The sequence below is a fragment of the Homo sapiens genome, chromosome 19, assembly GCF_000001405.40.
Source record: "Homo sapiens chromosome 19, GRCh38.p14 Primary Assembly".
Lineage (NCBI taxonomy): Eukaryota > Metazoa > Chordata > Mammalia > Primates > Hominidae > Homo > Homo sapiens.
In genome coordinates this window covers 320210-344505 of record NC_000019.10, presented here as the reverse complement: position 1 = coordinate 344505, position 24296 = coordinate 320210, and the positions used below count along the sequence as shown (strand labels likewise).

Genomic DNA, 24296 nt, shown 5'->3' with positions numbered 1-24296 from the left:
GGGGTGGGGGAGGGGAGGGACGCGGGGCGGGGCTGGTGTCGGGGGTCCGGTGGGCGCGCGGCTCCGTTCCAGGGTCCGGCTCCGGTTCCCGGCCCCGGCCCGGGCCCCGCGGCGCGCAGGCCTCCCCTCCCGCGCCTTTGCCAACTTTGCCGAGTGCTGGGGCCGCCAGGCGCCCCGCGCTCCCCATCGGGATCCCGGTGGACCCACCGCGCCTCCGCCGCCCGCGAGCCCCCCGGCGGGGCTGGGTCAGACCCCGGGCGGGATTTGAACTCCCGACGCGGACCCGCCTGGCGCGAACTGGGCGCAGGGTGGGTGGGTCTGCCGGGGCCTAGAGAGCGTCGGGGCTGATCTCAGAAGAGTTGGACCAGCCTCTCCCGGGCACGAAGTTACTTCTGGAGCCTCCTCCCTCGTCCAGGAAACAAGCCCGGGACCCTTTATCTGAAATGTTTGGGACCAGCTATATTTTGGAATCCAGAATTTTTCCAATTTGAGGATCTGTGGGATTTTGGACTGTGATGTTTGATCAAACCCACCTAGGACTGTCTAGGATAAGACAACAGATAGCTTCGTGTCAGGTCAAACCAGGAAGGAAGAAACTTTCGCTTTTGAAGCTTTTTTTGATTTTGGAGTGGTGGATGAGCCTGTGTGGACTTGCTTTCACCTTGGAGGGCCCTGGTGAAGATGGAAAGAGATAATGTAGGTGAAGGTGCGGCGGCTGCGAGGTGCTCAGTCAGTGGGACTCAGTGCATGACTTCTGTGCGCAGAAGTTACGACAGGCGGGCAGACTCAAGAGCTGATCCTATCTCTGGGATAGAGCCCAAAGGAAAAGGTGCCCACCCAGCCAGGCACAGCCGCCTCGTGGGAAGCCGGGATTGGAACTGCGGCCTGGCCGTGGTGCCACGTTGCGTGTTTATGTCTTGGGCGTTGTGGGAGGCAGGACTGGCCATTCTCTCCCCCTGGTGACGACCTCAGGGGCAGTAACAGGCCCTGTGTTTATGCCAAAGACGGTGTAGGTGTCTCGATACTAGGCCAGACCACCGGCCAGTTCCTTCATCGAGAATTAGTTCTTCTTGAGACGCTTAGGGAGACTGAGTCCCCATGCAGATGGTGGCTGTCCTCCAGGGTCGGAGGCAGAAGCCGCGTCTCCCAGTGGCCCTGCAGCGACGTGGTGGTCGAATGAGTTGTGCTCCTGGAATCTGGGCAACACACGTGGCCTGACAGGTAGCTCTGTGTCTGGGATGGCACAAGTCAGACTCCCAAGCCAGCCTCCCCCAGAGCTGCCATGTGGCTGTTCTGCCCTGCTCTAGGCTGAGCTCCGTAAATGTGCACAGCAGCTTGTGGTCCGGCTGCTCCTGTTAACCCTGTTTTACACTTTGGGGTGGTGCCCTGTTGAGTGAATTTGATTTGATTTTCTAAGGAGGTCCCGCTCTGTCCTCGGCCTGAGGATCTGGGAGTGAATGGAGCAGACAGGGCCTCTCCTACAGGGATGCAGAGTCTGGTCAGAGAGAGACGTGGGTGGGTTAGGACCAACAAGTATGAGGTGCTGAGCGTGAGGAGCCATGGCAAGCTGTCTGACCACCGGACTTGTTCTGTGTGGTCTTGGGCAGGTTGCCCAGTGACTCAGAACTTCCTTTTCCTCATCTCTGAAATGGGAAGTTTAATGGTCACCCTTCAGAGCTAGGAGGTCTGATGAGGTCCTGCCACAACGGCTTGTACATGGAAGTTGAATCTTGTGAAGTTGACGATATTCCACTGTTTTTAACCCGTAAAAGTGGCAATTTGTAACTTTATAGCACGTGATCAGTACTAGCTACTTTATTCTGTATCAGTATCCCAGAATAATCATAAGCACCACAGTGGCAGACGGGAATGCTTCATACTTTTCTCAGGCATACTAGATTGATCTTTTAAAAACCTAAGAGCACCATCTTTTGCTCCTACCTAAAACCCTCCATGGCTTTTCATGGTCCCTGGGATAAAATGCTCCTCCTTGCTGAGTCCCACAGCCCTGTGAGGTGGTCCCCACGGATCTGCCCCCTACTCTAGGGCCCTGGGCTCCTGTTTGCTGGTGCACTCTACCCATTTGGGGGCTGCCAACGATGGTTCCACCTCGACTGAGGCCCCCCAGGCCTTCCCTGACCCGCAGTTGCAGAGCCCGTGCGCCCTGTTTTCTCTTCTCGGTACCATACATGTCCACTTGTTTGTTGTCTGTGTCCAAAACTAGCAACTCCATGTGGGTGGAGGCAGGTGGAACTTGTTTCTCAGGTTAACCACCACGCCACTGCCTTGCTGAGCCCAGAGTGGGCGCCCAGGGAACATTGGTCAGACGGAGGAGTGGGGTGCTGGGTAGTCCAACAAGCGCCTGGCACTTGAGTTGGTGTGGGTGGGAGGAGGGTCAAGCATGGCTCTTAGGAGGAGGTTGTTTCAGTCACACTGGGGAGAGGGCTTGGGGCATGGGAGAGGTAGGTGCAGCCATCTTGGCGAATGGAACCTGCCACCCTGTCATTTTGGGTTAAGCTTTGCAGGGTGGCCTCTTGTGTTTTTGGTGCACTCTATACCTGTGGGGGCTGCCCTGGGGGAAGGGCTGGTCTGTGCTCTGCACCCAGTCCTCTGGTGCAGTCTTTATGTTGAGTAGCTGGCTGCCGCTTCTACTGCCTGAAGACCCTGGTGGACGCCTGGGTCTGTGGCCTGTTGTCCTCTGGACCTTGTTTCTAGAATGCTGTTTACGCTTCCTTTGCTTTTTTTGTTGCCTGGAATACCGTTGGCCTGCTCCCCCTCTTTTTCCTGCTTCCACTTTGACAAAACAGAGGACTTTGTCTTTCCTGGGAGTGAACTCAGAGGGAAACATGCAGAGTGTTCTGAGTGAGTGAAGTAGAGTCCCTGGGAACCTGCTTTGAGAGTAGACTTGCACCTGGACACCAGGCAGGGGCAGCGGGAGGAAGAAGATCCATGAAGTCTGTATTCCGTGGTAAGTTCCAGGAACTCAGAGTCGCCTGGAAATGAACTTGGGGATCCCAGGCTGCTCAGGGCCTCCCTGTTAGCGGCCCTTTCTGCCGTTCCCAGCCGCTTCCCTCTTTGCCCCCCTCTGCCTTAGCTCTCCTGTTAAATGGCACGTCATATAAGGGCCAGATCCTCCTCAGACCCTGCAGACCACCTCTCCTGGGGCCATATGTTAACTCCCTGTTACTCGGTGTGGATCTCAAGCCTGCGGGACTGTTGTCAACTTGCCGTCCAGACTGGGGCCTCATTTGATGTGGTCGCCTGCCATCCCCTTGTTAGTCAGGCTCCTGGTTGCGGGAGTAGAAAGCCAGCCCCTGACTGAGGCAGGAACCGTTGCCCAGAGAACCTGTCCTCGACCCCTACCCAGAGGGTCCTAGAGGGGGCTGAGGGTGATTTCAGAGGTCACTTAGGATGCTTTCCCTGTGGCTTCACACCGCGTGTGGCTGTGTAGAGTGGTTGTGGGCTGGTGGCCACCTGCTGTGTCCTGGAAAGAGGTGAGGCCATCTCTGCCAGACCCAGGCCAACCCCAGGGCAGGAGGCGTGAGATGCCCCTGCAGCTGCCATGCACTCTGTGCTGCTTGCTTCCAGTCCCGTGGCCCCTTCCCCCTGGGGGCCCTGCTGGCTCTTCCTTCCCTCTGTCTTCTGTTTGCCCTCTGCCACCACGGAGCTAAACTTTCTAAAGCTGGATGGGTCCTGTCAGTCTCCACTTAGAGCTTGAGGTGCTCCTTGGTCCTTGGCAGCCTTGTTGCCAGAGTCACTCCAGGGCCAGTGGCTGCCCCAGCTCCCTTCCGTGGCTTTGCTGTACGTTGCTGTACAGTTGGCCCTTGAACCTCACGGGTTTGAACTGCATGGGTCACTTATACATGGATTTCCTTCCATCTCTGCCACCCCGAGACAGGAAGACCAACCCCTCCTCTTCCTCCTCAGCCTACTCAACGTGAAGATGATGAGGACGAAGACCTTTAGGATGATCCACTTCCACTTAATGAATAGTAAATACACTTTCTCTTTCTTACAATTTTCTTAATAACTTTTTCTGTAGTTTACTTTTTTTGTGAGAATACAGTACATAATACAATATATAAAATATGTGTTTATCAACTGTTGATGTTATCGGCAGTGCTCCCGACCAGCAGGAGGCTATTAATCAAGTGTCGGGGAGTCAGAAGTCATGCATGGGTTTTCACCTGTGTGGAGGGTTGGCACCCGTAACCCCTGCGTTGTTCAAGGGTCAACTGTACTAGCCGTTGTGTTCCCCAGTAGTGTGATGGGCTGGAAGGTGTTTGCAAGCCGCTGGCCTGAGCTCCACTTTGTAACTGCACCACTGAACCTGCTGTGTGAGCTTGGGTAACTGACTCTATCTCTTTGAGCTTGTTTCCTTGTTTTTTTGTGAGGGGAATGATTATACCACCTGTGAGGTTTTTTCTTGAGGACCCGTGAAGAAGTATTGAAATTCTTACTACACAAGTTTTTAAACTTCATTAAATATTTTAATCTACCCTTTTTGGCAGCAGCTTTCCCGAGGTATAATTCATTTACCATGCAGTTCACCGTTTTAATGTGTCCAGTTCAGTGGTTGTTAGTGTATTCACCCAGTTGTGCAGCCACCATCACAGTCAATTTTAAAACATTTTCATCACCCCAAAAGGAACCCCACACCCCTTAGTGGTCACTCCCCAAACCCCAGATCAACTCCCAGCCCCTTTCCACCAGGAATCCATTTTCTGTCTCTACGAATTTGCCTGCTCTAGACATTTGAGATTAAATGAGTCATACGACACGTGGCCTTTTGTGTCTGGCTGTTTCAGGAGCATGAGTCTTTCGAGGTGCGTCCATGTGGTAGTGTGTCAGTGCGTCCTTCTTTGCCCCGTTGCTAGTGCTTTGTTTTGTTTTTGTCAGCTGATGGATATTAGGACCCTGACCTGGGTCACATGGTTAAATACTATTTAACTTTTGGAGGAATTGCTGGACTATTTTCCAAAGTGGCTGCACTATTTTGACATTCCCACCGGCAGGGCACAGGAGAGTTCCACTTTGTCCACGTTCTTGTCAACACTTGTTACTGTCTTTTTGAGCACAGTTTTTATTCTCTGATTAGGAAGTGGTATCGTAGTGTGGACTTTGCTTGCTTTTGCCTGATATTACATTGAGTATCTTTTCCTGTGCTTATTGGCCATTTGTCTGTCCTCTTTGGAGAAATGTCTGTTCAGATCCTTTGCCTATTTTTCAATGGGATTCTCTCTTCCTTATTGAGTTTTAAACGTTCTTTATACTGAGAAGAAGTTCCTTATCAGATAGATTATTTTTCAGATATTTTCTCCTATTCTCTCAGTTGTCCTTTCACTTTCTTGGGGGCGTCCTTTGAAGCACAAAAGTTTTTAATTTTGGTGAAGTTGTTTATCCATTTGGTTTTTTTTTTTTTTTTTGGTCACTTGTGATTTTGGTGTCTTATCTAAGAAACCATTGCCAAATCCAAGGTCACAAACTTTTTTCCCACCACATTTTTAGATTCAATCAAAAGGTTACAAATATTTATCCATATATTTTCTCCGAAAAGTTGTGTGGTTTTGGCTCTTATATTTAAGGCCTTTGATCCATTTTGAGGTAATTTTTGCATATGGTATGAGATAGGGGTCCAACTTCATTCTTTTGCACATGGATATTCAACTGTCCCAGTACCATTTGTTAAAGACTGTTCATTCCTTCATGGAACTGTTTTGATACCTTTGTGGAAATCCAGTTGACTATGAATGTGTGACTGTATTTCTGGATTCTCAGTTCTAGTTCGTTGATCTTTGTGCTGTCCTTATGGCAGTACCACACTGTTTTGATTGCTGTGGCTCTGTGGTGAATTTTGAAATCAGGAAGTATTGTTTCAAGATTGTTTGGGCTGTTTGGGGTACCTTGAGCTTCCATATGCTTTTGAAATCGGCTCGTGGGTTTCTACAAAGAAGCCAACTGGGGTTCTGATAGACATGGTGTTGAATTTGTCAATCAGTGGGGGGTGTTGCCGTCTTAATGTTGTCTTCTCAGCCATGAACGTGGGATGCCTTTACATTCCCTTGGATCTTCCTTTCAACACTGCTTTGTTCACTCAGAGTACTGTACACATTTCACACTTCCCTTGATGCTATTGTAAATGGAATTGTTCTTTTTGTATTTGTTGCTTTTATATAGAAATAAAATTGATTTTTATGTATTGATTTTGTGTACTGCAACCTTGCTGAACTCACTGTAGTTTGAATAGTTTTTTAGATCATGTCACCAGCACCAGCACAGAGATAGTTTTACTTCTTCCTTACCAATCTTTTTTTTTTTTTTTTTTTTTTTTTTTTGAGATGGAGTCTTGCTGTATTGCCAGGCTGGAGTGCAGTGGCACGATCTCGGCTCACTGCAACCTCTGCCTCCTGGGTTCAAGCGATCCTCCTGCCTCAGCCTCCCGAGTAACTGGGACTACAGGTGCCCGCCACCACACCCAGCTAATTTTTACATTTTTAGTAGAGACAGGGTTTCACCTTGTTGGCCAGGATGATCTCCATCTGCTGACCTCGTGATCTGCCCACCTCGGCCTCCCAAAGTGCTGGGATTACAGGCGTGAGCCACTGCGCCCAGCCTTTTTTTTTTTTTTTTTTTTTGTGAGATGGAGTCTTGCTCTGTTGCCCAGGCTGGAGTGCAGTGGCACGATCTCGGCTCACTGCAGCCTCCGCCTCCCTGGTTCAAGCAATTCTCCTGCCTCAGCCTCCTGAGTAGCTGGGATTACAGGCACATGCCACAATGCCTGGCTAATTTTTTTGTATTTTTGGTAGAGACAGGGTTTCACCATGTTGGCCAGGCTAGTCTTGAACTCCTGACCTCAAGGGATCCGCCTGCCTGAGCCTCCCAAAGTGCTGGGATTACAGGCGTGAGCCACCGTGCCCGGCTTCCTTACCGATCTTGATTCTTTTTATTTGATGCTTTTACGCTGACTACACCATCCAGCCCTCCATTTAGCATGAGAGGTGAGAGTACACGTTGTGGTGCTCATGGTGTGAAGGAGAAAGCAGCCTTTCCCCATTGAGGGCAATGATAAGTATGGGTTTTTCCAAGAAGGAAGCTCCCTTCTGTTCTGAGTTTGTTGGGTATTTTTCCTTATGAAAGTATGTTGGATTTTGTTGGATTGGGTATGTTGAGATGATCCTGTGTTTTGTTTTTTTATTTTATTGATGTGATGTATTATATTAATTGACTTTTGGATATTAAATCGACCTTGCATCCCTGCGGTAAATCTTACTTGGTCGTGGCTTATAATCATCTTTATGTGTTGCTGGATTCAGTTTGCTAGTATTTTGTTGAGGGTTTTGTGTTTATGTACATGAGAGATATCGTGGCTTGCGGTAGCTCACACCCATAATGCCAGCACTTTGGGAGGCCGAGGCGGGCGGATCACTTGAGGTCAAGAGTTTGAGACCAGCCTGGGCAACATGGTGAAACCCTCATCTCTAGTAAAAATACAGAAATTAGCTGGGCGTGGTGGTGCGCACCTGTAGTCCTAGCTACTCGGGAGGCTAAGGCAGGAGAATCACTTGAACCTGGGTGGCAGAGGTTGCAGTGAGCCAAGATTGCGCCACTGCACTCCAGCCTGGGCGACAGAGCAAGGCTCTGTCTCAAAAAAAAAGAGAGATATTGAACATTGTGATAATGGTAACTTATAATGGTTTTGTTTGCCTTTTTATAAAAAAAAATTGTAATTGACAAACCATAAAATATGCCCATTTTAAAGTTTATAATTCATTGATTTTTAGTGTATTCACGACCATGCAACCATCACCTCTATCTGATTCTAAAACATTCTGTCATCCCCAAAAGAAGCCCTGTCCCCGTTAGCAGTCACTCTCCCACTGTCTCTCTCCCTGGCTCCTGGCCCCCACGAGCCCCCATTCTGTCTGTGGACTGGCCTGTTCTGGATGTTTGGTATCAGTGGACCCTACGCTGTGGCCGTTGGTGTCTGGCTTCCCTCCCAGTGCATGCTGTTGTTGAGCTTCATCCAGGTTGCAGCATGGGTCAGGACTGTAGGCCTGTGTGTGGGCAGTTTTCAGTGTCACATGATGCATGTCCTGCCCTGGGCGAGAACGCCTCCACCCTGTGAGCGGTCCTTGGTGGGAGGCGGGGCGAGTGGCGGCCACATGCGTGTGCTGCTCCTAGTGCCCCCCAGCCCTCAGAGGCGGAGACAAAGCCCCTTCCCTGGTCACTGGGGACTGGGCTCTGACCAGCGCTTGCTCTTGGCTGCCACACTGTGATGTCCAGCAGCAGGTTTTGGGCCGGCCGAGCTAACCCTGCCTCTCTTCCTTCGCAGGCCTCCTCGCTGGGGAGGCAGAGTCCTCGCGTGGTCTCCTGCCTCGAGCACAGCCTGTGCCCAGGGGAGCCGGGCTTGCAGACAACAGCAGGTACCTTCCTCCCTCCTTCCCCTGCTCAGGTCCGCCAAGGCCTTTGTGGCTGTGAGAGACAGAATGCCTGCTGGGCCTGGCTGAGCTGTGGACCGGCACACTGGCTTCCAGAGTCCAGGGTGTCCCAGCTCCCACCCGTTCAGATGGAGCTGTGGGGCAGAGTGGTCAGGACTCCCGTCTTCCTGTTCTTTAGCAGGGGCAGGGAGCCCAGGCGACCCAAGACCATCCTCAGAGCCCAGCACCCCCAGCAGAGGACCCGGGCACACGCCTGCACCGAGCTGAGGGCTGCCTCATCTTGCCAGGGTGTTGGGAAGGGGTGGCTTGCTGAGGGAGCCGGGGCTGAGAAGGTGGAGGGCGGCGAGACAGGCAGCACCCCGGGTTCCCTGCACCTCCCTGCGCTGCTGCTTGCCCAGTGGGCATCAAGGTCCCATGCCCGCCTGCCAGCCACCTGCGTTGGGCCTGCGGGGAGGAGCTGACGCTGTAGGGCAAGGGTCTCTATGACTGTTCTTCCCCTGGCTGGGCTCCTTCTGCCAGGTGTAGGGCTGCGTCTCTTTCCGTATCAAACTAGTCACCACCCGAGTCCCCAGAGAAGGCGGTGCCATCCCTGTTTTCCCTCACGTGGCTCCTCCAAGGGTGCGGTGGCCACTGAGGGTCCGGGCGCACCCATTCAGCTCCAGGTCATTCCCTCACTCTAACGAGGTGCCTGCCGCTGGGGGTCCTCTGTGCCCTGCAGCTGCATGTTCTGTGCATGGGCTGTGTGTGGTGCACACCTGTGTGCCCAGCCCTACAGGCTGTGTGGCTGCCCTAGAGGCCTCGTGCCCTGGACTCCCAGGCCCTCAGGCCCCCAGCCTTGGCCTACACTGCTCTCTGTCTGGATTGATTGAGCCCTAGCTATTTCCTTTGTTTGTTTAAAAATTTGACCAATTGGAGAGTAAACATGCAGAGGAATGGTGACACATCCCAGTTCTTTCGGGGAAACCCTGGATCTGATGACAGCCGTCAACTGTTGGGCCATGTACATCGCATGTCTTCTTCATGTGGCCCTGCAGACGGAGCTTAAGGGACTGGTGTTGTCGAGCCCCCATTGGTTTGTCCCTGCATGCTCCTTGATGCTGTACTGACCTGTGCAGGTGAGGGTTCAGCGTCACCCCCGTTTCAGGAGTCATGGAGTCCGGTGTGAACCCACCTCGACTGAGTCCTGCTGCTCCTTCTACCCTAACGAGATGGGTGTTGGTCTCTTTCTAGTCCACTTGCTCCCCAAATCCTCGCAGGCTTCTCTGTGTTCAGGAAGACAAGCAGTCTCTCAGAAAGAGACACACCCACCCCCCAAAAAAATCCTTGGAATTTGTATGTGCAGCTCACCAGCCGTGCTCCTGTGTGCATTAGTCGTGGGGTGTCCTGTTGGGTTCCCTCATGAGGCTGATCCTGGCAGCATGCAGAGGGCCTCATCCTTAGGGCTTCACCAGGCGTCAGTAGTCTCGGCAGGATGGTTGGGACAGGCGAGGCACGGTGCTCACCTGGGCTGCTCTCTTCTCCCCAGTGGTGTCCATGGGCTCTGGAGACCATCAGTTCAACCTCGCAGAGATCCTGTCACAGAACTACAGTGTTAGGGGGGAGTGCGAGGAGGCCTCGAGGTGCCCAGACAAGCCCAAGGAGGAGCTGGAGAAGGACTTCATCTCCCAGGTACTTGGCCAAGGTGATCCTGCCCCTGTGTTGGGTGGAGCCCTCCGGGGTAAGCCTCATGAGTTTTGTGCAGCTCAGATTCCACATTGGTAAGTGCTAAATTGTACATCTTTTTGCAAAGTGCCAGATGCTGTCCTAGTAGCTGAAATTCAGTGGAGACCAGGTCTTTCATGGGGCTCTCTGAGCAGCACGGTGGTCAAGGATTAAGCCAGCTGCTCTCAAATCTTCTGGTCTCAGAACCTGCTTTGTACTCTTAAAAATTATTGAGAGTTTCAGGCTGGGTGCAGTGGCTCACGCTTGTAATCCCAGCACTTTGGGAGGCTGAGGCGGGTGGATCACTTGAGATCAGGAGTTCGAGACCAGCTTGGCCAACATGGTGAAACCCCATCTCTACTAAGAATACAAAATTGTCGGGCGCGGTGGCTCACACCTGTAATCCCAGCACTTTGGGAGGCCGAGGTGCGCGGATCACAAGGTCAGGAGATCGAGACCGTCCTGGCTAACACGGTGAAACCCTGTCTCTACTAAAAATACAAAAACAAAATTAGCCGGGCATAGTGGCGGGTGACTGTAGTCCCAGCTACTCGGGAGGCTGAGGCGGGAGAATGACGTGAACCCGGGAGACGGAGCTTGCAGTGAGCTGAGATCGTGCCACTGCACTCCAGCCTGGGTGACACAGCGAGACTCCGTCTCCAAAAAAGAAAAAAAAGAATACAAAATTAGCCAGGCGTGGTGGTGCACGTCTATAGTCCCAGCTACTCGGGAGGCTGAGGCAGGAGAATCCCTTGAACCTGGGAGGCGGAGGTTGCGGTGAGCCGAGATCACGCCATTGCACTCCAGCCTGGGCGACAGAGTGAGACCCTGTCTCAAAAAAAAAAATTAAAAAAAATTAGAGTTTCAAGGAGCTTTGTTAATGTGCTTTATCTATTGCTTTTTTATTACATGAAAAGTTAAAACTGACATGTAAATTGGCCGGATGCAGTGGCTCATGCCTGTAATCCCAGCACTTTGGGAGGCCGAGGTAGGCGGATCATGAGGTCAGGAGTTTGAGCCTAGCCTGGCCAACGTAGTGAAACCCTGTCTGTACTAAAAATACAAAAATTGTTGGGCGCGGTGGCTCATGCTTGTAATCCCAGCACTTTGGGAGGCTGAGGCAGGTGGATCACCTGAGGTCAGGAGTTCTAGATCAGGCTGGCCAACATGGTGAAACCCCGTCTCTACTAAAAATACAAAAACAAAATTAGCCGGGCATAGTGGCGGGTGACTGTAGTCCCAGCTACTCGGGAGGCTGAGGCGGGAGAATGACGTGAACCCGGGAGACGGAGCTTGCAGTGAGCTGAGATCGTGCCACTGCACTCCAGCCTGGGTGACACAGCGAGACTCCGTCTCCAAAAAAGAAAAAAAAGAATACAAAATTAGCCAGGCGTGGTGGTGCACGTCTATAGTCCCAGCTACTCGGGAGGCTGAGGCAGGAGAATCCCTTGAACCTGGGAGGCGGAGGTTGCGGTGAGCCGAGATCACGCCATTGCACTCCAGCCTGGGCGACAGAGTGAGACCCTGTCTCAAAAAAAAAAATTAAAAAAAATTAGAGTTTCAAGGAGCTTTGTTAATGTGCTTTATCTATTGCTTTTTTATTACATGAAAAGTTAAAACTGACATGTAAATTGGCCGGATGCAGTGGCTCATGCCTGTAATCCCAGCACTTTGGGAGGCCGAGGTAGGCGGATCATGAGGTCAGGAGTTTGAGCCTAGCCTGGCCAACGTAGTGAAACCCTGTCTGTACTAAAAATACAAAAATTGTTGGGCGCGGTGGCTCATGCTTGTAATCCCAGCACTTTGGGAGGCTGAGGCAGGTGGATCACCTGAGGTCAGGAGTTCTAGATCAGGCTGGCCAACATGGTGAAACCCCGTCTCTACTAAAAATACAAAAATTAGCCGGGCGTGGTAGCAGGCGCCTGTAATCCCAGCACTCAAAGGGCTGAGGCAGGAGAATCGCTTGAACCCAGGAGGCGGAGGTTGCAGTGAGCCGAGATCAGGCCATTGCACTCTAGCCTGGGGGACAGAGCAAGACTGTGTCTCAAAAAAACAAAAAAAATTGACATGTAAAAATACTTATTCGCTAACTCATTTTAAAATGAGCTGAGATGTGCCACTGCAGTCCAGCCTGAGTGACACAGTGAAACTCCATCTCAAGAAAAAAAAAGAATACGAAAATTGCCAGGCGTGGTGGTGCACGTCTGTAGTCCTAGCTACTCAGGAGGCTGAATAAATCAGTGACATGTTAATATAAATATTTTTATGAAAATAAAAAGAACTGTCCCAAAAGAAAAAAAATTAGAAGACTGAATTTTTAGTTTTCCATATCTCTTTGAATGTAGAAGCAAATATGAAAATCCAGCTTCTGTCTTTTTATTTTTTTGAGATGGAGTCTTGCTCTGTTTCCCAGGCTGGAGTGCAGTGGTGTGATCTTGGCTCACTGCATCCTCCGCCTCCTGGGCTCAAGTGATTCTCCTACCTCAGCCTCCCGAGTAGCTGGGACCACAGGTGCATGCCACCACGCCCGGCAAATTTTTGTATTTTTAGCAGAGACGGGGTTTCATCATGTTGGACAGGCTGGTCTCAAACTCTTGACCTTGTGATCTGCCCACCTCGGCCTCCCAAAGTGCTGGATTACAGGCATGAGCCACCACGCCTGGCCAAGCTTCTGTCTTTAAAACATTTATTTATTTTTTTGAGACTGGATCTCACTTTTGCCTAGGCTGGAGTGCAGTGGTGCAATCATAGTTTACTGCAGCCTCGAACTCCTGGGCTCAAGGGATGCTCCTGCCTCAGCCTCCTGAATAACTGGGACTATAGTCGCACGCCACCACACCTCACCAACGTTTTTATTTTATTTCTTTGTGGAGTTCTTGCTATGTTGCTAGGGTTGGTCTCAAACTGTTGGCCTCAAGCAATTTTTCTACCTAGGTCTCCCAAAGTGTTGGGAGTATAGGTGTGAGCCACTGTACCTGACCCAGTTTCTGTCTTTTTTTTTTTTTTCTGGGGACAGAGTCTCACTCTGTTGCCCAGACTGGAGTTCAGTGGTGCAATCTGGGCTCACTGGAACCTCTACCTCTTGGGTTCAAGTGATTCTCGTGCCTTAGCCTCCTGAGTAGCTGGGACTACAGGTGCCCACCACCATGCCTGGCTAACTTGTATTTTTAGTAGAGACGAGGTTTTACCATGTTGGCCAGGCTGGTCTCGAACTCCTGACCTCAAGTTGATCCTGCCATCTCAGCCTCCCAAAATGCTTGGATTACAGGCATGAGCCACGCCTGGTCAGTTTCTGTCTTTTAAGGGAGACATTGATCTGTTGTGATAGGCTCTTATGGCTGAAGTTAAAATACAGCCTCAGCCAGATCTGTGGTTGAAAAAGGTAGGAGTATTTCACAGCTTTTCGGATAATTGTGGGTATTCTTCTTTGATGCTACAGCAAAACCCATCAAGTGATAGTTTTGTAGAGAGTAGTTGTGGAGTGGAATCTGAGACCGTATCAGTGAACCTCACAGGTCAAGAGGCAGAAAGGTCCATGATCAAGGTCCAGCAGAGTGGGTTCTGGTGCCGGCTCTCTTCTTGGCTTGCTGTGTCCTCACATGGTGGATAGAGAACAAGAGGGAGCCTTCTGGTGTTTTTCTTGAAAGGACACTAATCCTGTTGGATCAGGGCCCCACCCTCACGGCCTCCTTGAACCTTAATTACCTCTGTAAATGCCCCGTCTCCAAATATAGTCATGTTGGGGCTTAGGGTTGACTGTAACAGTTGATATCACCACCAGCCTTATCATAAGTTTTTTTTTTTTTTTTTTCTTTTTTTTGAGACAGGGTCTCGCTGTCGCCCAGGCTGGAGTGCAGTGGCGCGATCTTGGCTCACTGCAAGCTCCGCCTCCCAGGTTCATGCCATTCTCCTCCCTCAGCCTCCCGAGTAACTGGGACTACAGGCACCTGCCACCTTGCCTGGCTAATTTTTTGTATTTTTTTTAGTAGAGACGGGGTTTCATCATGTTCGCCAGGATGGTCTCAATCTCCTGACCTCGTGATCCGCCCGCCTCGGCCTTCCAAAGTGCTGGGATTACAGGCGTGAGCCACCGTGCCTGGCCTGTAAGTTTTTTAAATATTAGAAATTCGGCAAGTTCATGTTGTCAAACCCAAGTTTTTCAAAATCTTGAGTTTTACCATTGCAGCAGTTATGGTCAGCTGTTTCCTTTGCAGTAACAGCCCCCCTGGCTTGCATACAAGGCAGCGCCTGCCAGGTGCCTTTCTGAGTGGCTATAGTTGGCCAGCATTCTTTCAGGTGAAACGACCAGGAACAGCCTCTTCGTCTCACCACTCGTTCCATGCATGTGGTTCCTTGAAGGAACCACCTCACTTTGGTATGCAGCAGGTGCATTCTGCATGCTTCCCACGCCCTCACAGCACATGGAAACATCTGCTCAGGGTGAGACTTAACAAAATGCTCACTTTGTCCAGCATCTTCTTTTTTTTTTTTTTTTTTTTTGAGACGGAGTATTGCTCTCGTCACCTAGGCTGGAGTGCAGTAGCACAATGTCGGCTCACTGCAACCTCTGCCTCCTAGGTTCAAGCGATTCTCCCTGGGATTACAGGAACCCACCACCATCCCCAGCTAATTTTTGTATTTTAGTAGAGACAGGGTTTCTCCATGTTAGTTAGGCTGGTCTCAAACTCCTGATCTCGTGATCCGCCTGCCTCAGCCTCCCAAAGTGCTGGGATTACAGGCATGAGCCATCCTGCCCGGCTGTCCAGCATCTTCTGAAGTGAAGCTGGGGTGTTTGCTTTTGGTCTGTGAGGAATGTGACAGCAGTGACTTGTGGGCAGGGATGCACTGGCTGCAGCTTCCACGGGCACTGGGCTCTTGCCGGCTGCCAATGCTGCACTATCAGTGCAAGCCTCAATGAAGCCAAAAATGGAAGTCACGGCTGAGTGCTCTTAGGAAAGGGTCTTCACCTTGGGCTACTATGGAGAGGTTCAGGCAACCCAAGGGCCTCTGGACCACTGTGTCAACCTTCCCACCTTCATAATCCTGAAGGTAATGGACATACAGAATCTGTTCTTTCCACGGGGTCCTGTGAGAGAACAAAAGGGGGACTCAGTGTAGATATTCCACCTGGAGAAGGGCTGGGACTAGGCTGGGAGGTTTCTATGTGGACTTGAAGCCCCCAGGTTGAGTCTGGGCAGGAGCTGGGGTGGAGGGGAGGCCAGTGCTAACATCTTGAGAGAATGAGAGGGAGTGTTCCGGAAGTTGGAAGCTGAAAGTGACCCACAGGGATCAGCGTGGAGTCTGAGCAGACAGGACTAGCCTCTGTGGAATAGAGGCTCACACAAGGGAGGACAGAAGGATTTGAAAGCAGCACTGGAGAGCATGATGTTGATAGTTCGCATCTCTTCCTTCCCAGGAATTACGTGCCTTATTTATACTTCTTGTCATATTACATTGGCTCAGAGCATCAAAACAGTGTTCGTTAATCACAGTGCTCTTGTTCCAGATCGTGATGGGGGCTGCTCTGGTTACCCATTTTTGACTGAGTGTGAATTGACAGCTTCTCCATTATATTGATGAAGCATCCGTTTACATAGTTTTCTTCTTTTTTTTTATTTTGAGACAGATTCTCACTCTGCCACCCAGGCTGGAGTGCAGTGGTGTGATCTTGGCTCACTGCAACCTCCATCTCCCGAGTACAAGTGATTCTCGTGCTTCAGCCTCTTGAGTAGCTGAGACTACAGGTGGATGCCACCAAGCACAGCTAATTTTTGTATTTTTAGTGGAGACGGGATTTCGCCATGTTGCCCAGGCTGGTCTCGAACTCCTGGCCTCAAGTGATCTGCCTGCTGTAGCCTTCCAAAATGCTGGGATTACAGGTGTGAACTACTGTGTCTGGCCTGTTTATGTAGTTTTCTGAGAGTTCCTTTTTTTTTTTTTTCAAATCAGGAATAGATGTCGGATTTTACCAAATGCCTTTTTCAGATAACTTTTTTCCCCTTTAATATATTGATGTTGAGTTACAATAGTAAATTGCCAGGTGTCGCACCATCCTTGTATTCCTGTAATTCACCCTGTGTCACACCATCCTTGTATTCCTGTAATTCACCCTGTGCAAGGAGGCATTGTGGGCAGGGTGGTGCCCTCTTCCCTGGCCGGTGACCCCTAGGCTCTGGTGCCTCTGAGGGATTGTAAAGGAGCTCTTGGATGAAGGACTGGGCCTGAGGTCTGGCTGGGGAGTGCTGCCATGTGGGGAGTTGCTATGGGTGTGACAGAGTGGCCCTGGTTGTGGCCAGTGAGGCTCAGGCAAGAGGACAGGGACAGGAACCCCCAGAGCCGTCCCTCCTGATGGGGCCTTGTTCCCTTCCCCAACTCAGAGCAACGACATGCCCTTTGATGAGCTGCTTGCGCTCTATGGCTACGAGGCGTCAGACCCCATTTCAGACCGGGAGAGTGAGGGTGGTGACGTGGCCCCGAACCTCCCAGACATGACCCTGGACAAAGTAAGTGAGGGCCCTTCCTGGAACTGGCTCACAGCTGAAGGTGGGGGGGCCTGGCGCTGCCTCTCTGCAGAGGGGAGTGTTCAGTGAGAGGAGGCACAAAGGCCCCCAGAATAAGTAGAATGTACCTGTGACCACTACCCTGGGGTTGGAATGGCCATGGGCATGGGGCTGGACCCTAGCCTTAACCCCAGGCCACATGTCATTCTGGCTTTGGTGGGTGGAGGGGCACATCGGGGCCTCCCCAGGACTGGTCTCTCTGCCATTCCGTACCCAGAGGTCACAGGTCAAGGCTTGGGTGTTGGGAGCAGGGGCGGGCTGCATTGTAGAAGGTTAAAACCAAATGCACAGTCAGAGAAAGAGCCATGCACTCCGGGCGTGTGCCCAGTGGCAGCTCTAACTGTCTCCAGCTCTGGTGGCTGGGTGTGGGCTCCCACGTGTCTCCTTCCCATCCCCGCTCCCCCCACGCTGTGCACCCTTTGCAGAATGGGAATAGCAGCCCCATGTGAGCCTCAGGGCACTCCCAGTGTCTTTACTGTTGTTATCATTAGTGGTATTGCGAGATTGTTAAACTGTAAAATGTTCTTTACTTTTTTTTTTTTTTTTAAAGGAACAAATAGCGAAGGATTTGCTTTCAGGGGAAGAAGAGGAAGAGACGCAATCATCTGCTGACGACCTCACCCCGTCCGTGACCTCCCACGAGGCCTCCGACCTCTTCCCTAACCGGAGTGGATGTAGGTGACTCTGTCCCCATACTCCACCGCAGCCAGGCCCCCTGCCAGGCAGTCGTGATGCTTGATGAAGGGTCCTTGGGCTGATGCAGGCCAAGAACTCATCACAGATGAGGGCGTCTGCCTGGCGGGAAGCGTCAGTAGCCCTGGGGGTGCTTTGTTCTCCTCCACGCTGGCCAGTGAGCCTGGACTCTCAGAGCGATTTGGTTTAAACAAGTAGGGAACATGTTGGTTCCCCTAGCAGATCCAGGGACAGCATTCCCAGAACCGGCCTCCTTCACAAGCCTCTGTGCTGGCTTTCCTGGGAACTGAGGGCTCGGGGCCCAGAGGTGCAGCAGCTGCATAGAAGGGAAGGCCTCTTTCTTCAAAGGTGCATCCCTGGTCCTGGGTCCTGTGCCCATCTGTTTACCCAATGTCTGGCCAGAGAGAGGGTTATGGCCTGGGGATCAGGTGGATGGAGAATGGGAGTGGAGAGAAGGGGTTGTATAGGCTGCAGGCAGTGGAGACCCTGGGGGACCTGCCTCTGTTTTCCCAAAGCTCGTTTCCTGGCTGATGAAGACAGAGAGCCTGGCTCTTCTGCCTCCTCCGACACCGAGGAGGACTCTCTTCCTGCCAACAAATGTAAGAAGGTACGTGGTTCTGCCATCTCCCCAACCTGGCATCCCGGCCGTGGTTCTGCCGTCTCCCCAACCTGGCATCCCGACCGTGGCTCTGCCGTCTCCCCAGCCTGGCATCCCGGCCGTGGCTCTGCCGTGTCCCCAACCTGGCATCCCGGCCGTGGCTCTGCCGTGTCCCCAACCTGGCATCCCGGCCGTGGCTCTGCCGTGTCCCCAACCTGGCATCCGGACTGTGGTTCTGCCGTCTCCCCAAACTGGCATCCCAACCGTGGCTCTGCTGTGTCCCCAACCTGGCATCCCGACCGTGGCTCTGCTGTGTCTCCAACCTGGCATCCCAGCCGTGGTTCTGCCGTGTCCCCAACCTGGCATCCCTCCCATGGCTCTGCCCTCTCCCCAACCTGGTATCTCGGCCTCAGTAACCGCAGCCGGGTCCTGCTGAGCCCTCTCCCTGGGTTTGTGCCCCTTCTCAGAGGAGGGACGTGCTGCTCGACCCCAGGGTGGGCTGGGACCGGCCACAGGTGCTTTGGACCGGAGCCTGGGCCCCTGCTGCTGACCCAGAGTGTTTGTCCTCCGACATCCTGTCTGGGCCTCTGCCAGGCCAGGCGTCAGGACACAGCCTCACCCCTCACACACCCAGGCCTCTGCCTCCCACCTTCAGACCCCAGAACTGGGCATCAGCAGGTAGACGGCACAGATGGGTCTGGGGTCTGGACAGTGGCCCCTCCCCGTAAGCCTGCCACAGCACGCTGCAGCCAGCCTCCCGCCCGGCCTAGATGCTCCTCAGTGTCCTGATTCCCAGGTGCTTGCTTTGCAGGAGATCATGGTGGGACCTCAGTTCCAAGCTGACCTCAGCAACCTGCACTTGAACCGGCACTGTGAGAAGAGTAAGTAGGGCCTGGGGAGAGGAGGCGAAACCCACTTCTGCAAGGGGAGTGGCCTGGCTGGACGTCAGATCCTTGGACAGTCTGGTCAGGTCCCCGCCCCGCATCGCTCACTGGGGCAGCTGAGCCTGTGGCTGGAGGAGGTGGGAGGCTCTCGTGGCTGCAGTGGGCCTATTGCTGCCTGCCCCTGCCCAGCTCTGTCCCTCCCTTGGGGTCTGCTCTGGTCAGCCTGTGCAGCCAGACCCTCAGCAGCCCGTCCTGCCTCTGACCCAGCCCTGCCCTGCCCTTGACTCCAGCCGCCTCCCCACAGCCTGGGCCGCTGCATTCGATGGCTCTGTGCCGGGTTAGATGGTTCTCCAGAGACCCGCCGGATGCTGCGCTGCACCCCCGGCCTTGCTCCGCTCCTCTTCAGGGTGCTCCCTTTCCTGGGCTTGACCTTCGTCTCTTTCCCACTAGAGTTCAAAATCGACCCTCTCTTGCCCCTTTGAGGCGTGGAGTCACGTGCCCATTGACTTGGGTCTCATTTGTGTTGCCCTGGAGCCCTTGCAGGCCCTGGGCCAGTGCTCCTAGCTCAGGAGCCTTCTCCAAGGTGATTCAGTGGCTGAGATGCGTGGTGGGAAGGGACAGGTGCAGCAGAAGTACTGAGTCCAGGGAGACAGGGACCCTCCGTGAAGAGAAGTCGTCCTCCTGGGGCTGGTCGGGGGTGCCCCGTGTGAGAAGAGGACGGAGCCAGGAAGGTGCAGCCAAGCTGCTGGGACATCCAGAAGGCAGGGTCGGAGGGGACACTTGGGACCCTCACCCAGAAACCCTGGCTTTGGAGTCTGTCATCAGGGCCCTTTCCCCACCCTGACTCACCCCCCATGAGGGTGCCCTGTCTGGAGCAGCCAGGACTTCTTCGTCCCATGGGATGCCAGCTGGCCCCTCCCACTCGGTATGACACCTGTGTCATTCGAGTCGTCTGCGTGGTTGTGTGTGTCCTGTGTATTGCATTGTGATGACGTCTGTGTCATTCGAGTCGTCTGCGTGGTTGTGTGTGTCTTGTGTATTGCATTGTGATGACGTCTGTGTCATTCGAGTCGTCTGTGTGGTTGTGTGTGTCTTTATTGCATTGTGATGACGTCTGTGTCCTTCGAGTCATCTGCGTGGTTGTGTGTGTCTTGTGTATTGCATTGTGATGACGTCTGTGTCATTCGAGTCGTCTGCGTGGTTGTGTGTGTCTTTATTGCATTGTGATGACGCCTGTGTCATTCGAGTCGTCTGTGTGGTTGTGTGTGTCCTGTGTATTGCATTGTGATGACGTCTGTGTCATTCGAGTTGTCTGCGTGGTTGTGTGTGTCTTGTGTATTGCATTGTGATGACACCTGTGTCATTCGAGTTGTCTGCGTGGTTGTGTGTGTCTTGTGTATTGCATTGTGATGACGTCTGTGTCATTCGAGTCGTCTGCGTGGTTGTGTGTGTCCTGTGTATTGCATTGTGATGACGCCTGTGTCATTCGAGTCGTCTGTGTGGTTGTGTCTTTATTGCATTGTGATGACGCCTATGTCCTTTGAGTCGTCTGCGTGGTTGTGTGTGTCTTGTGTATTGCATTGTGATGACGCCTGTGTCCTTCGAGTCGTCTGCGTGGTTGTGTGTGTCCTGTGTGTTGCATGGTGATGACGTCTGTGTCATTCGAGTCGTCTGTGTGGTTGTGTGTGTCTTTATTGCATTGTGATGACGCCTATGTCCTTCGAGTCGTCTGTGTGGTTGTGTGTGTCTTGTGTATTGCATTGTGATGACGCCTGTGTCATTCGAGTTGTCTGTGTGGTTTTGTGTGTCTTGTGTATTGCATTGTGATGACGTCTGTGTCATTCGAGTTGTCTGTGGTTGTGTGTGTCCTGTGTATTGCATTGTGATGACGTCTGTGTCGTTTGAGTTGTCTGTGTGGTTGCGTGTGTCTTGTGTATTGCATTGTGGTCCTTGGTTTGGATGCTGTGGTTTTTGAGTCTTGTGTGTTCCATTGTGGTCCTTGGTTTGGATGCCATGGTTGTGTGTGTCTTGTGTATTGCATGGTGATGATGTCTGTCATTTGAGTCATCTGCATGGTTGTGTGTGTATTGCATTGTGATGACGTCTGTGTCATTTGAGTCGTCTGTGTGGTTGTATCCTGTGTATTGCATTGTGATGATGCCTGTGTCATTCGAGTCGTCTGCATGGTTGTGTGTGTGTGTCCTGTGTATTGCATTGTGATGATGTCTGTTCTTTGAGTCATCTGTGTGGTTGTGTGTGTCTTTACTGCATTGTGATGATGTCTGTGTCATTCGAGTCGTCTGCGTGGTTGTATGTGTCTTGTGTATTGCGTTGTGGTCCTTGGTTTGGATGCCGTGGTTGTGTGTGTCTTGTGTATTGCATTATGATGACGACTGTATCATTCGAGTTGTCTGCGTGGTTGTGTGTGTCTTGTATATTGCATTGTGATGACGTCTGTGTCATTTGAGTCATCTGTGTGGTTGTGTCCTGTGTATTGCATTGTGATGACGCCTGTGTCATTCGAGTCGTCTGCGTGGTTGTGTGTGTCGTGTGTATTGCATTGTGATGACGTCTGTCATTTGAGTTGTCTGTGTGGTTGTGTGTGTCTTGTGTATTGCGTTGTGGTCCTTGGTTTGGATGCCATGGTTTTTGAGTCTCTTGTGTGTTCCATTGTGGTCCTTGGTTTGGATGCCGTGGTTGTGTGTGTCTTGTGTGTTGCATCGTGGTCCTTGGTTTGGATGCCACATTTACCCACCCTTTCTGCCATGGGCTGCGGTCATGGTTGGTTCAGCTGTGGGCTGTGAATGCCCTCGTGTGCGTCGTTAGTGGACATAGGCACTCGGCACTTGATGGACAGCGGGGAGTCGTGTGGGAGGTGTGTGCTTAGGGTGACGCATACTGCTTGAGTTTCTCACTAATGATTTGTGGGAGTTGCTCCACATTCTCGGTGTTTGCCACTGAGGGTGAATTTGCCTGAATTTTAGCCCGTCTGGTGGATATGGACTCCTGTCCCATTGTGGTTTTAATTGGCATTTCCCTGGTGAGCACCTTTCGCAGGTGTACTGGCCATTTGGATATTCTCTCTTTGCGTGCTCCAAGCTTTCTCCCATTTTGTTGTCTTTCCCTTTCTGATTTGTAGTCATTCACATTTTGTGGAAACAAGTCTTTCTGGGCTTTGTGCACTGCTGCTGTTTTCTCCAGTTTGTGGTTTGCCCATTGACTCTCTTAGTGATGTCTTTAATTTTAATAAAGTCCAACTTATCAATCATTATTTGAATAATAATGTGTGTGTGTGTTCTACTTAAGGAGTGTTTGCTTACCTCAGGCTCTTGGAGATATTCTTCCACGTTTCTTTCTAGAAGATTTATTGTTTTTCCTTTCACATTTAAGGCTGTGATCCAACTTAGTTTACATTTTGGTGTATGGTGGCTGGGCGTGGTGGCTCACACCTGTAATCCCAGCACTTTGGGAGGCCGAGGTGGGAGGATAACTTGAGGTCGGGAGATTGAGACCATCCTGGCTAACACGGTGAAACCCCGTCTCTACTAAAAATACAAAAATGAGCCAGGTGTGGTGGCGGGCACCTGTAGTCCCAGCTACTTGGGAGGCTGAGGCAGGAGAATGGCGTGAACCCGGGAGGCGGAGCTTGCAGTGAGCCGAGATCGCGCCACTGCACTCCAGCCTGGGTGACAGAGCGAGACTCTGTCTCAAAAATAAAAAATAAAAATAAAAATAAAAATAAAAACAACAAAAGTCCATTGTCTCCCCCACTGAGCTGCAGTGACGCCTTTGTGGTAAATCAGGTGCCTGTAAGGTGTGTCTTGTCTCACCCGGAGTCATCGCCACTGTCTCAGTTATTACAGGTTACAAGGAAGTCTGAGGTGGTGCAAGTCTTCTAACTTTGTAAGTTTTCATTGCATATCTATGTAAGTTTTAAGATTAAAACTTATTTTTTTCAGCAACTGACAAGTTTTAATCTTTTTTTTTTGAGATGGAGTCTTGCTCTGTTGCCCAGGCTGGAGTGCAGTGGCATAATCTCAGCTCACCACAACCTCCGCCTCCTGGATTCAAGCAGTTCTCCCACTCAGCCTCCCAAGTAACTGGGAGTACAGGCACCCGCCACCACGCCTGGCTCATTTTTGTATTTTTAGCGGAGATGGGGTTTCACCATGTTGGCCAAGCTGATCTCGAACTCCCAACCTCAGGTGATCCGCCTGCCTTGGCCTCCCAAAGTGCCGGGATTACAGGTGTGAGCCCCTGCGCCCGGCCCATAAATTGATTTTCAAACGTTAAGTTAACGGTGCACGGTGGAATAAACGTGCTTCCTGGCCATGAAGTGTTCTCTCTTGTGTGTATGTATCTCATGCACTCAGTCCTCATTATTTGTGGGTTCTGTGCTGGTGAATTGCCTACTTGGTAAAATTTATTTGAAACCGCAAATCAAAACTCGCAACACCTTTACGGTCAGGCGCCAGCAGATGTGTGTAGAGTGTCAGTGAAGGCGAGTTACCTGACGTACAGTTCCAGCTGAGGTGGGACAAGCTGCTGCTCTGTCTTGGCTCTCAGATCTTTTACTGTGAGCACGTGCCTTTCCTGCCGTGTACTGAATGCCGTTTTTCACATCCTTGTGCCTTGTGTCGGCTACTTGACGGATTAAAGTGGCCCCTAAATGTAGTGCCGACGTTCTGTCTGGTGTTCTTAGGTGGAAGAAGGCTATGATGTCCCTTTCAGAGAAAATTCGAGAAGCTCCACTCAGGCGCAAGCTCTGGGGCTGCTGGCCGTGAGTTCAGTGTTAGTGAATCCACAAGGCAGATCCAGTGAGACAGTGGCTCCCAACCTTTTTTGGCACCAGGGACTGGTTTCGTGGAAGACAATTTTTCCACGGATGTTGGAGTAGGGGGCGTGGTTTCAGGAGGAAACCGTTCCACCTCAGATCATCAGGCATTAGATTCTCATAAGGAGTGTGCTGCCTGCCTCCCTGGTGTGTGCAGTTCACAGTGGGATTTGCGCTCCTATGAGAATCTAATGCCACCACTGATCTGACAGGAGGCGGAGTCAGGCAGTGATGCTGGCTCTCCTGCCGCTCACCTCCTGCTGTGCGGCCAGCTGTGGCCTGGGGGTTGGGAACCCCTGCAATGACACATTTTTTAAAATTTAAATTTTATTTATTTATTTTTAATTTAAATTTTATTTACGTATCTATTTTTTAAATTTAAATTTTATTTATTTATCTATCTATCTATTTAGTTTTTTGGACAAAGTCTTGCTCTGTCGCTCAGGCTGGAGTGCCGTGGCGCAATCTTGGCTCACTGCAACCTCTGCTCCCGGGCTCAAGTGATTCTCGTGCTGCAGTCTCCCGAGTAGCTGGGACTACAGATGTGCGCCACTGCACGCCGGCTAATTTTTTTTTTGTTTATTTTGT

At 51.6% G+C, this 24296-nt stretch overlaps 1 protein-coding gene across 20 annotated transcripts in view, besides 5 other annotated features; it reads left to right on the top strand.

Annotated features, from left to right (window-relative positions):
- The window catches only part of MIER2 (MIER family member 2), a 39224-nt gene that overhangs the window by 291 nt on the left and 14637 nt on the right, over positions 1-24296 (top strand). For 4 of the 20 annotated variants that reach the window (XM_006722769.5, XM_047438971.1, NM_001387152.1 and 1 more), the window contains exons 1-7: positions 32-696; positions 8333-8423; positions 9964-10106; positions 16517-16642; positions 17250-17373; positions 17908-17999; positions 18802-18871. In XM_006722769.5, coding sequence (XP_006722832.1) covers positions 682-696; positions 8333-8423; positions 9964-10106; positions 16517-16642; positions 17250-17373; positions 17908-17999; positions 18802-18871 — 661 coding nt within the window. In that variant the 5' untranslated portion in view covers positions 32-681. Of the gene's footprint in view, positions 1-31; positions 3993-8332; positions 8424-9963; positions 10107-14125; positions 14243-16516; positions 16643-17249; positions 17374-17907; positions 18000-18801; positions 18872-24296 lie in introns of those variants that run through there. The other 16 variants (NM_001387153.1, NM_017550.3, XM_047438970.1 and 13 more) reach the window with 11 other exon arrangements.
- Positions 236-345: a silencer, noted in NCBI's record as "silent region_9597". NCBI's record gives its function as "represses an Ori minimal core promoter by ATAC-STARR-seq in GM12878 lymphoblastoid cells {active_cell/tissue: GM12878}" and the evidence as "EXISTENCE:reporter gene assay evidence [ECO:0000049][PMID:35858748]".
- Positions 654-1605: an enhancer, noted in NCBI's record as "H3K27ac-H3K4me1 hESC enhancer chr19:342901-343852 (GRCh37/hg19 assembly coordinates)". NCBI's record gives its function as "activates a minimal SCP1, AML or CMV promoter by ChIP-STARR-seq in naive H9 embryonic stem cells {active_cell/tissue: H9 hESC(naive)}" and the evidence as "EXISTENCE:reporter gene assay evidence [ECO:0000049][PMID:30033119]".
- Positions 2792-3379: an enhancer, noted in NCBI's record as "H3K4me1 hESC enhancer chr19:341127-341714 (GRCh37/hg19 assembly coordinates)". NCBI's record gives its function as "activates a minimal SCP1, AML or CMV promoter by ChIP-STARR-seq in naive H9 embryonic stem cells {active_cell/tissue: H9 hESC(naive)}" and the evidence as "EXISTENCE:reporter gene assay evidence [ECO:0000049][PMID:30033119]".
- Positions 16131-16331: a silencer, noted in NCBI's record as "peak3205 fragment used in MPRA reporter construct". NCBI's record gives its function as "represses an SCP1 promoter by STARR-seq MPRAs in K562 erythroleukemia cells {active_cell/tissue: K562}" and the evidence as "EXISTENCE:reporter gene assay evidence [ECO:0000049][PMID:32103011]".
- Positions 16345-16845: an enhancer, noted in NCBI's record as "H3K4me1 hESC enhancer chr19:327661-328161 (GRCh37/hg19 assembly coordinates)". NCBI's record gives its function as "activates a minimal SCP1, AML or CMV promoter by ChIP-STARR-seq in naive H9 embryonic stem cells {active_cell/tissue: H9 hESC(naive)}" and the evidence as "EXISTENCE:reporter gene assay evidence [ECO:0000049][PMID:30033119]".